The sequence below is a fragment of the Homo sapiens genome, chromosome 19, assembly GCF_000001405.40.
Source record: "Homo sapiens chromosome 19, GRCh38.p14 Primary Assembly".
NCBI lineage: Eukaryota > Metazoa > Chordata > Mammalia > Primates > Hominidae > Homo > Homo sapiens.
Window position 1 is genome coordinate 54,464,157 of NC_000019.10, and position 11,378 is coordinate 54,475,534.

Consider the following 11,378-nt stretch of genomic DNA (forward strand, 5'->3'; position numbering starts at 1 on the left):
GATTTACATGTGTCCCGCCCCGTTCCGGGTGATTTACATGCGTGCCCTGGCCCTTTCCCAGTGATACTTTTGTGCTGCCTCTTTCCGGGTGATTTACGTGTGTGCCTCTCCCCAAGTGATTTACATGTGTGCCCTGTCCGTTTTAAGGTGATTTACATGTGGTGCCCCGCCCCTTTCCGGGTGATTTACCTGTGTCCCATCCCTTTCCCGGTGATTTACATGTGGTGCCCCGCCCCTTTCCCGGTGATACCTGTGTGCCCCGCCCATGAGGGGACGTCTTTAAAGAACCTGGACCCGCCCTCAGTCCAAGTGATTTACATTTGCGGCCCCGCCCCTCTGGGAAACTTACGAGAACCTGGCCCCTCAGTCCAAATCATTTGCATGTTCGGCCCCATCCCTCGGGGGCCTTAAAGAACCAAGATGCCTGCGGACCCTTCCCCCACGGAGACCAGGCCCCTACTGCTCTAAAAGTGTTCTCAGACACTTCCCTCTGCAGCCGCTCCCAGAGTAAACGGCGGCTCCGCCGGGTCGGAGTCCACCTGAGGCGTTCAGGGCCAGAAAGACTCCTGGGGCTGCAGCACTCTGCAGCCCCGCCTCGGCTGGCCCCGCGGTGGCTGAGTCTGGCCCGGCCCCAGGACCACGTCCGGCCGGCGGTGGCGCACAGTATTTGACGAATGGGACTGCGGGAGCCGCCGCCTCTGCAAGGGGCACCGCCTGGCCACGCCCTCGGGCTCTCTTAAAGGAGCCGCACCCCCACCCCAGGGCAATCATCGGACCCGGACCAGGCCTCCGGGTGACACATCCGGCTCTCAGAGGCGCCAGGACCCTATCATTCATCCCTTTCCACGTGCAAAGTGAAAAGTCAGAGCCCGGGCACACACCTTGGCCGTTTATGTATACAGAAGTGGGGTGCCGGGCGGGAAGGGCGCGGGGAATGAGGGAACCTAGAGGCCGATGACGTCGTTCAGCTCGAGGTCCGCGTTGGGGCGGCAGCGGGCCTGGGGGGGCTGCGTCCCGGGGCGGGGTTCCGCGTCGGGCTTGGCGGCAGCCGCCTCCGGGCGCGCCGCGTCCATGACGCCCAGCACCGCGTCCAGCATGGAGGGCCCCAGATCCAGGTGGAAGGACAGCAGCGGGTCGGCAGGCGAGGGCGCTGCGGACTGCGGGACGGCGGGCGGCGGCGGGGAGCGCGGGGCCCCCGCGGGGGGCGCCCGGGGCTCGGGGGGCGGCCCGCCGCCGTGGCGGCTCAGGAACGAGGTGTCCCCGAAGGCGTCGCCGCCGCGCCCCACGTGCAGCGTGTGCCGGAAGTCGCCGAGCGGCGCGGAGATGGACAGGGCGCCGCGATCAGGCCGCTTCTTGGGCTGCGCGGGGCCCAGCTGCTTCAGCACGGGCATCTGCGAGGGGCACGGGAGGGTCAGCGCGGCCCCAGCCCGGGGCTCGCAGCCACGCGACTGCTCAAAGGACGATGGGGGACGGTTCCCGTTTTTTGTTTTTTGATTTTTGTTTTTGAGACGGAGTCTCGCCCATGCTGGAGTTCAATGGCGCCATCCCGGCTCACCGCAACCTCCGCCTCCCGGGTTCAGGCGATTCTTCCTCCTCAGTCTCCCGAGTAGCTGGGATTACAGGCACCCGCCACCATACCCAGCCAATTTTTGTATTTTTGTAGAGACGGGGTTTCACAATGTTGGCCAGGCTGGTCTTGAACTCCTGACCTCAGGTGATCAACCCGCCTCAGTCTCCCAAAATGCTGGGATAACAGGCGTGAGCCACCGCGCCCGGCCTCCCGTTTCACAGATGGGGTAAGATGAGACTCCAGGAGGTCCCATGGGCACAGCTGCTGAGCTCACATTTGGATCTAACCTGACTCCAGAATGCCTATGAACACCATGCTATGCCGATCCTCCTGAGAGCGAATACTTGAGCCTTCCTAGAGGTCAAGTAACAAATATTTCACAAACCCTTCAGAGTGCTTCCCAGACTTGACTGATAGAAAACTCCAGCTTGTTGGCCCGGGTGCGGTGGCTCACTCCTGTAATCCCAGCACCTTGGGAGGCCGAGGCGGGCGGATCGCTTGAGGCCAGGAGTTCGAGACCAGCCTGAGCAACATGGTGAAACCCCATCTCTATAAAAAATGCAAAAATTAGCGGGGCATGGTGGCGCATGCCTGTAATCCCAGCTAAAGTAGGAGAATCGCTTGAACCCCGGAGGCGGAGGTTGCAGGGAGCCGAGATCGTGTCACTGTATTGGCCACTGCACTCCAGCCTGGGCAACAGGAGTGAAACCCTGTCTCAATAAAAAGAAAAAGAAAACTCCAGCTTGTCAAAAATGGAAATTCCCAGGCTCCTGTTCTGAAGACAGGGCTGACTCTGTCCATTAAGCAAAGCAGATCCTGCCTAGAGCCCACCACGCACACGAGGAAGAGGCCCAGGTGGGCTTTGCCTAGGGTGCATTTTATGATTTGAATTACAGTCCTTGGTATCTGTGGGTTCCGCATCAGCAGATTCAATCAACTGCTGATAAAAAATACTGGGGAAAAAATACAGTAATAAAAAATGAGTACAAGTTTCAAACAATATAACAATTATTTGCAAAGCATTTACATTGTATTATGCATTATAAGTAATCTAGAGATGATTTAAAGTGTAGGAGAGGATGTACATAGGTTATATGCAAATACTAGGGCATTTATATAAGAGACTTAAACATCTGCATATTTGGGTATCCATAGGGGTCCCAGAACCAGTCCCATCACTGCTACCAAGGGGCAACTGTACCTGATCTTTTTTTTTTTTTTTTGAGACGCTAATTTTTGTATTTTTAGTAGAGACAGGGTTTCACCATGTTGGTCAGGCTGGTCTTGAACTCCTGACCTCGTGATCTGCCCGCCTCGGCCTCCCGAAGTGCTGGGATTACAGGCATGAGCCACCACGCCTGGCCAACTGTACCTGATCTTGAGACTACAACCTAACAATATGATGTCTTATGTTTTCTAAAATAATAATATAAATTCCCTAGCCAGGCATGGTGGCTCACACCTGTAATCCCAGCACTTTTGGAGGCTGAAGCGGGTGGATCACCTGAGGTCAGGACTTTGAGACCAGCCTGACCAACATGGTGAAACTCCATCTCTACTAAAAAAAAAATACAAAATTAGCTGGTTGTGGTGGTGCATGCCTGTAATCCCAGCTACTTGAGAGGCTGAGGCAGGAGAATCGCTTGAACTTGGGAGGCAGAGGTTGTGGTGAGCTGAGATCGCGCCATTGCATTCCAGCCTGGGTGACAGAGTATGACTCTGTCTCAAAAAAAAAATAAAAAGCCCTATGTTAAAAAAAATGGGAAGAATTGCATAAATTTGAAGCTGGCAGCATCTGCATTGTAAACTAGGTGCTTTATTGCCCATAGCTGCACCAAATTCTTTTTTTTTTTTTTTTGAGACGGAGTCTTGTTCTGTTGCCCAGGCTGGGGTTCAAGCGATTCTCCTGCCTCAGCCTCCTGAGTGGCTGGAATTACAGGTGTGCGCTGCCATGCCCTGCAAATTTTTGTATTTTTAGTAGAGATGAGGTTTCACTATGTTGGCCAGGCTGGACTCAAACTCATGACTTCAGGTGATCCGCCTGCCTTGGCCTCCCAAAGTGTTGGGAATACAGGCATGAGCCACCACGCCCGGCCTAAATTCAATATGAAATAGAAACGCAGCCACAGAGTCTGCCCATATCCTGGTCATTGCATGTTTTGTGTGGAACTTCTGGGAGGGACTTTGATGACCTTGTACTTTTGTTTTAACAGTCACTGTTATCGCAATAATAAAAACCTATTTCAGTTGAAGCCCTACCCTTTGCCAGCTGTATGAACTGCAATAAATTACTTTATTTCCCTGTTTACTTTTCTATCTGTAAGATAAATAAAATAACACTACCTTCCTTTCAGGATACATAGAAAAGTCTGATCAAAGAAAACTATACTTGTAATAGTGCTAACCAATGGGTAATGCTAGCGTTGGGGGGAAAATATTTCCCTAACAATAATTGTGGAACAAAAATTAGGTTGGATAGAACACTATGAGAAAGACAAAGCCGCTGACATTGTTTTCACCGTAACAGGCACCCTGGGAAGTATTGGTGATAATATGGAGGAAAATGAAAGCCAAAGGGATTTAAAATAATTGTAGATGGCTAGATTCTGAAGACTGGCCTACACACACACACACACACACACACACACACACTCTTTACATTGATTTCCATGGGGAAACCAGTTTTGATTTACTACCTCTGCAGCATTTATCAAATTTCTCTGACCTCAACCTAGATGAATAAATATATTTTTATCGTTACCTAGCACACAATCTCCACTCTCTCCTTCCCCATAATGGAAATAAAAATTTTAAGAAACAAGATTTGTCTTGTTTTGAGACAGGGTCTCACTCTGTCACCCAGCTGGAGTGCGGTGGTGAGATCTTGGCTCACTGCAACCTCCGCCTCCCGGACTCAAGCGATCCTCCCACCTCAGACTCCTGAGTAGCTGGGACTACAGGCTCATGCTACCATGTAGTGTTATTTTTGTATTTTTTTTTTTTTTTGTAGAGATGGGGTTTCACCATGTTGCCCAGGCTGGTCTCAAACTCCTGAGCTCAAGCAATCTGCCCGCCTTGGCCTCCCAAAGTGCTGAGATTACAGGTGTGTGCCAGTAAGCCCGGCCAATACTTACTTGTCTTACAACGTGGTAGATACTCTGATTCCTTCCTTCCTTCCTTCCTTCCTTCCTTCCTTCTTTCTTTCTTTTCTTCCCTCCCTCCCTCCTTCCTTCCTTCCTTTCTTTTCTTTCTTTCTCCTTCCTTCCTTCTTTCTTTCTTTTCTTTTTTGATGGAGTCTTGCTCTGTCACCCAGGCAAGAGTGCAATGGCGCGATCTCGGCTCACTGCAACCTCCGCCTCCCAGGTTCAAGTGATTCTCCTGCCTCAGCCTCCCGAGTAGCTGGGATTATAGGTGCACACCACCATGCTTGGCTAATTTTTGTATTTTATAGTAGAGATGGGGTTTCACCATGTTGGCCAGGCTGGTCTCGAACTCCTGATCTCGTGATCTGCCCACCTCGGCCTCCCAAAGTGCTGGGATTACAGGCATGAGCCACCACACCCGGCCCCTACTCTGATATTTTCTATTGTAATCTATTTTATTTTTAAATGTTGAGCTCAGCTCATTAATGTATCTTCTGGATCCACAGTTTAAAAAAAAAATCCTCTCTAGCTGCTAACAGAGCCTATGATCTCAGCACTTGCTCTGCTGTGGGTCAGAGGTGAAAAAGTGGAATTCAGAAAGTCCATTGCACAGGTTTGAATCTGGCTGTGCTGATCGCTCTGTGGCTTTGAGCAACTTACTTGACCTTTCTGACCTCATTTCCTTATCTTGAAAATGGCATGATATTAATCTAATACTTCCCAGTCCTTTTGCAAGAATTGGTGGAGGGATATGTCCCTGCAAGTCTTGGCACAGTGCCCAGCGCACAGGGAATGTTCAATTAACATATGCTCAATGGAGTCACACCTCGGATCATTCTCCCAGTGTTCCAGAGAAGGAAATGGGTGATCCGAGACAGGACGTGACTGACCAAGATCACAAAGCCAGCTCTAGGGAACTCCAGTGTCTAGAGCTGGCTGCCTCCACTCTCTGCTGCCTCTTGACTCGTGGACAGCTCTCAGCCCCTGCCTCTGGTCAGACCCAGCTCCCAGCATGCACCTCGCATCCCCCTTCCATTGCCCTATCCGTTGCCACCACTTTTCAGCACCTGGCAACACACATAAAGTCTTGGTTTCTGACATCACACACATCTGGGCTCAAATTTTGCCATTTCCTTCTTGTGCGATCCCAAACTGGCTTCCTCAACCTAAAGCTCAGTTTACTCCTCAAAAAACAGGGGTTGGAACTCTTGTTTGTGGCTGGGCGCCGTGGCTCACACCTACAATGCCAGCTCTTTGGGAGGCTGAGACAGCAGGATCACTTGAGCCCAGGAGTTTGAGACCAGAATGCGCAACAAAGTGAGATGATCTCTCTACAAAAATAAAAATAAAAAATTAGCCAGGTGCTGTGTCATGCACCTGCAGTTCCAGCTACCTGGGAGGCTGAAAAGGGAAGATCCCTTGAGCCCAGGAGTTTGAGGCTGCAGTGAGGTATGATCGTCCCACCGCACTTCAGCCTGGGCAACAGAAAGAGACCCTGTCTCAAGAAGAAAAGAAAAGAAAAGGAGAGAGAGAGAGAAAAAGAGAGAGAAGGAAAGGAGGGAGGAGAGGGAGGGAAAAAAGGAAGGAAGGAAGGAAAGAGAAAGAAAGAGAAAGAAAAAGAAAGGAAAGGAAGGAGAAAGAAAGAAAGGAAAGAAGGAAGGAAGGAAGGAAAAAGAAAGAAAAAAAGAAGGAAAGAAAGAAAGGGAAGAAAGAAAGACTACACTGAGGGTGCCGAAATTTTATTTTCCAAGTGCTTATCCTGGGCCAGGCACCAGCCTGAGTGCCTCCCCATGAATGAACTAATTTATTTAATCTTCAGGACAACTCCATTTTACAGATGCGCGATGGCTGAGACACAGAGAAGTTAAGTCACTTGCCCTGGGTCACACAGTAGCAAATGCTGCGCGCCAGATCTGGAATCCAGACGAACTCTTAGCTCCCCATAGGAGACTACGGGCATGCCACCCCATGAGAAAAAAAATAATAATGTTCTGATTTGATATGAAGGCGAGAGATTTCCTCTGACACCCTTGATTGTCTTTTTTCCTCTCCAGTCCAGACCAGAACAACGAGTTGGAAGTCGTTTTCGAATGCCACCTCTGCGCCCTAGCTCTGAGACCCTGGGTAAGTCGCTTCACTTCTGCCAGCCTGGGTGTCCTCTTAAATAGAAGCCTCTGACCTCCCTCTGGTTGAATTGTGTTTAAAGCAATGAGGTCATGCTCGGAAAAAGTCCCTCACGCTGCCAGGGCTCGGGACAGAGGGGCTGTTGTTTGTGACCAACGTGGAACAGGCAGAAAGCGGGGCGCGACCGTGGAGCCCGGGGAGGCCCGGGCCGCGCGTTCTCCCCCCGCCTCCGCCCACCCCTCTCTTTCCTGCTGGGGCAGGGCCACGGCTCCAGCTGCAGGGTGGCGGGCACAGCTGGTTCACCTCTGTCCTCTCTCAGTCCCGGCCCCGCCAGGACGGAAATAACAACCCACTCTAGATCCGGCCCAACTGGTTCTCAGACCCGTGGGAGCTGCGGTGCAGCCGGGTCGGGGGACCCCAGATGGGGAGACCCCCGGCCCGGCGAGGGCTTCACTGCGCGCTTCCTGCAGCCACGTGGCTGCGGCCGGGAATTCAGCGGCCCTTTTCCCTCCCGACCGGGACCCAGGACCCCTGTCCCCACCGCGCCTTACCTCGCGGTCCTCCCAGAGCGGGGCGGGCGCGCGCTCACGACTCCAGCTCTAGCCCGGACCCCTGGTTCCCTGGCTCCGAGTCCGCCTCCGTCTCCTAATCCCCGGCCCGCGCCTTCCTTCTTCCTCCGGGCGGGTTCTCACCTGGTAAGGAAAGTGTCATGTGGAACCCGGAGGGAGATTCAGGAGCCAGGCATCCGGGTCCGTAGAGCCACCTCCTCCTTCGCCCTCAGGTCCTAGGCGTCCTAGATCTTCGCTTTCTTAATCCCACCCCAGACCCGAAAGTCAGGGGCCCCCAGCCCCTTCTTCCTCAGACCCAGGGGTCAAGACCCCCCAGCCCCTCCTCCCTCAGACCCAGGAGTCCAGACCCCCAGCCCCTCCTCCCTCAGACCCAGGAGTCCAGACCCCAGCCCCTCCTCCCTCAGACCCAGGAGTCCAGACCCCCCAGCCCTTCCTCCCTCAGACCCAGGAGTCCAGGCCCCCAGCCCCTCCTCCCTCAGACCCAGGAGTCCAGGCCCCCAGCCCCTCCTCCCTCAGACCCAGGAGTCCAGACCCCCAGCCCCTCCTCCCTCAGACCCAGGAGTCCAGGCCCCCAGCCCCTCCTCCCTCAGACCCAGGAGTCCAGACCCCCCAGCCCCTCCTCCCTCAGACTCATGAGTCCAGACCCCCAGCCCCTCCTCCCTCAGACCCAGGAGTCCAGACCCCCAGCCCCTCCTCCCTCAGACCCAGGAGTCCAGGCCCCCAGCCCCTCCTCCCTCAGACCCAGGAGTCCAGACCCCCCAGCCCCTCCTCCCTCAGACTCATGAGTCCAGACCCCCAGCCCCTCCTCCCTCAGACCCAGGAGTCCAGACCCCCAGCCCCTCCTCCCTCAGACCCAGGAATCCAGGCCCCATCCCCTCCTCCCTCAGACCCAGGAGTCAAGACCCCCCAGCCCCTCCTCCCTCAGACCCAGGAGTCCAGACCTCCAGCCCTTCCTCCTCCCTCAGACCCAGGAGTCAAGATCCCCCCAGCCCCTCCTCCCTCAGACCCAGGAGTCCAGGCCCCCAGCCCCTCCTCCCTCAGACCCAGGAGTCCAGACCCCCAGCCCCTCCTCCCTCAGACCCAGGAGTCCAGGCCCCCATCCCCTCCTCCCTCAGACCCAGGAGTCCAGGCCCCCAGCCCCTCCTCCCTCAGACCCAGGAATCCAGGCCCCATCCCCTCCTCCCTCAGACCCAGGAGTCCAGACCCCCAGCCCCTCTTCCCTCAGACTCAGGGGTCCAGACCCCCAGCCCCTTCTTCCTCAGACCCAGGAGTCAAGACCCCCCAGCCCCTCCTCCCTCAGACCAGGAGTCCAGGCCCCCAGCCCCTCCTCCCTCAGACCCAGGAGTCAAGACCCCCCAGCCCCTCCTCCCTCAGACTCATGAGTCCAGACCCCCAGCCCCTCCTCCCTCAGACCCAGGAGTCCAGACCCCCAGCCCCTCCTCCCTCAGACCCAGGAGTCCAGGCCCCACCCCTGGCAAGCCCTGGCATAAGGCCCCTTTACCTGCACCGGGAGCTAAAGTGTCAGCCCCTCTCGGGGGCCATGGCAGGAGCCCAGGCAGAAGCGGAATCACCGCCCAGTCCCCAGGCAGAGAGGGTTTTGGCACAGGCCCCTCCCAGGCTTTCTTATCCCCCAAAAGTTTGCCTCTAGGAGTTAAAGGACTAGAAAGCAGTGGTGGAAAAGCTGAGGCCCCTCTGGGCGGAGTGTGGGGGCGGGAGGAGGCCAGGACTAAGTGTGCAGGGGGAACTGGCAGAGGGGGTGGGGCTGGACAGGGCGCGCCCCCAGCCTGGCCCCTCCCCTGCACAGCTTGGAATTTCCTGAAACTGGGGAAGTCTGGCTGTTTAGAAGAGTAATTTCTTCCAGATTGCAGCTGTATGGAGAGAGAGAGAGGGAGAGAGAGAGAGAGAAAGAGAGAAGAGAGGCAGGTCAGACAGTGAAAGCAGCAGGAGGATGAAGAGCATGGAGGGTGTCTGAGAGGGGCAGCTCTGGCTTTGCTGCGGCGTCCCCTAGATGAACCTCCCTGCCTGGAGCCACTCCGTCATAGAAAGCTCATATCTCATTCTAAGCACCAGTGTCTATTGATGACAAGAGAGTGAGGTTTGAGTGTTAGGGCAATTCCTTCAGGGCGGTGCGGGCAGGGAGAGAGAGCGGAGGGGGAGAGCAGAGTCCCAAGGCAGGATGCAGCTCAGTGGGAAGAAGGTGGGAAGCCCAGGTGGGAGTCTAGGTCTGTGGGAGGGAGGTGGAGGCCCAGGTGGGAGGCTGGGTCAGCGGGAGGGAGGTGGAGATGCAGGTTGGAGCCTGGGTCAGGGTCAGAGGGAGAGGGAGAGGGAAGCCCAGGTAGGAGGCAGCTCAGTGAGAGAAAGGGGAGGCCCAGGTGGGAGGCTAGGTCAGTGGTTTTACCCCTAGCTGGGGCTGGGGTTGTAGTGCTGGAGAGAAGACAGTCAATTTGCGATAACAGGAAGCAGCCTTGAGCTGGGTCTTAAGGATGAGTGAGAGTTGATGGAGCCCAGGAGAGGAGGATGGATATCGGAGCAGAATGGGGAAGCTGGGTGGGGCAGAGGGTTCTCAGACACCAGGTGGAGTTTGATTTGCCTGGAGAAGCCAGCTTGAAAGCCACTGGGAGCTTCAGTTTGCCCTGCAGGCGTGGGGGGACCGCGGAGGAATGGCAGGGAAAGATCCAGGTGTTAGAAAGTTCCCACTGGGGTCCCCGCAGGGGATGGAGTGAAGCAGGTCAGGACTCAGCACCCACAGCAAAATTTAAGGGGGGAGGGGGCAGTGGTCACCAGAAACTCAGTAATCAGAAAAACTATATATATATATATATATATGTTACAGACTTTTATTAAGTATTTTTTATTGATGTAAAATTCACATAACATAAAATTAACCATCTTTTTTTTTTCTTTTTTTTTAATTGAGACGGAGTTTTGTTCTTGTTGCCCAGGCTGGAGTGCAATGGCGCGATCTCCACTCACTGCAACCTCCACCTTCCAGGTTCAAGCGATTCTCCTGCCTCAGCCTGTTGAGTAGCCGGGATTACCGGTGCCTGCCACCACGCCCAGCTAATTTTGTATTTTTAGTAGAGACGGGGTTTCTCCACGTTGGTCAGGCTGGTCTCGAACTCCCGACCTCAGGTTATCCGCCTGCCTCGGCTTCCAAAGTGCTGGGATTATAGGTGTGAGCCACTGCATCGGGCCAGAATTAACCATCTTAAGGTGTACAGTTCAGTGACATTTAGTACATTCCCAATGGAACATACCTAATTGGTACACTGGTAATTGTGTAGCCATCCTTTCTATCAAGTTCCCAAACATTTTCATCACCCCTAAAGAAAACCCTATTAAGCGGTCACTCCCATGCCCCGCTCTCTGCAGCCCCTGGAAACCACTCCCCTGTTTTCTGATTCATGGATTACCTCTTCTGGACATTCGCATAAATGGAATCACACATCATACAGCCTTACCTATCTGACTTCCTTCACATAAGCAGGTTCATCCGTGTGCAGCATGTGCCAGTGGTTCATTACATGTATTATGTACATACGTTAAGATATATATAAAGGCCAAGTGCAGTGGCTCACGCCTGTAATCCCAGCACTTTGGGAAGCCAAGGCGGGTGGATCACTTGAGGTCAGAAGCTCAAGACCAGCCTGGCCAACTTGGTGAAACGCTGACTCTACTAAAAAAATACAAAAATCAGCTGGGCGCAGTGGTGTGTAGTCTCAGGTACTCGGGAGGCTGAGGCAGGATACTCGCTTGAACGCAGGAGGCGGAGGTTGCAGTGAGCCCAGATCGAGCCACTGCACTCCAGCCTGGACAACAGAGCAAGACTCGCTCTAAAAAAAAAAAAAAAAAAAAAAAAGACGAAAAAAAGAAAAAGAGATATGTATATAAGAGATCTATTTGTCACGTGTGTAATCCCAGCACCAGCACTTAGGGAGGCTGAGGCGGGCAGATCACGAGGTCAGGAGATCG

At 54.2% G+C, this 11,378-nt stretch overlaps 1 protein-coding gene across 1 annotated transcript; it reads right to left on the reverse strand.

The window, feature by feature from the left end:
- Window positions 1-869: 869 nt before the first annotated feature.
- On the reverse strand, window positions 870-9,140 carry CDC42EP5 (CDC42 effector protein 5). The gene is made up of 3 exons (NM_145057.4): window positions 8,908-9,140; window positions 7,389-7,529; window positions 870-1,391 (listed from the first exon to the last, which is right to left on the reverse strand). The coding sequence occupies exon 3, from the start codon at window positions 1,389-1,391 to the stop codon at window positions 945-947; it is 447 nt and encodes a 148-aa protein (NP_659494.2). The 5' UTR covers window positions 7,389-7,529; window positions 8,908-9,140; the 3' UTR covers window positions 870-944.
- Between the last annotated feature and the right edge of the window lie 2,238 nt (window positions 9,141-11,378).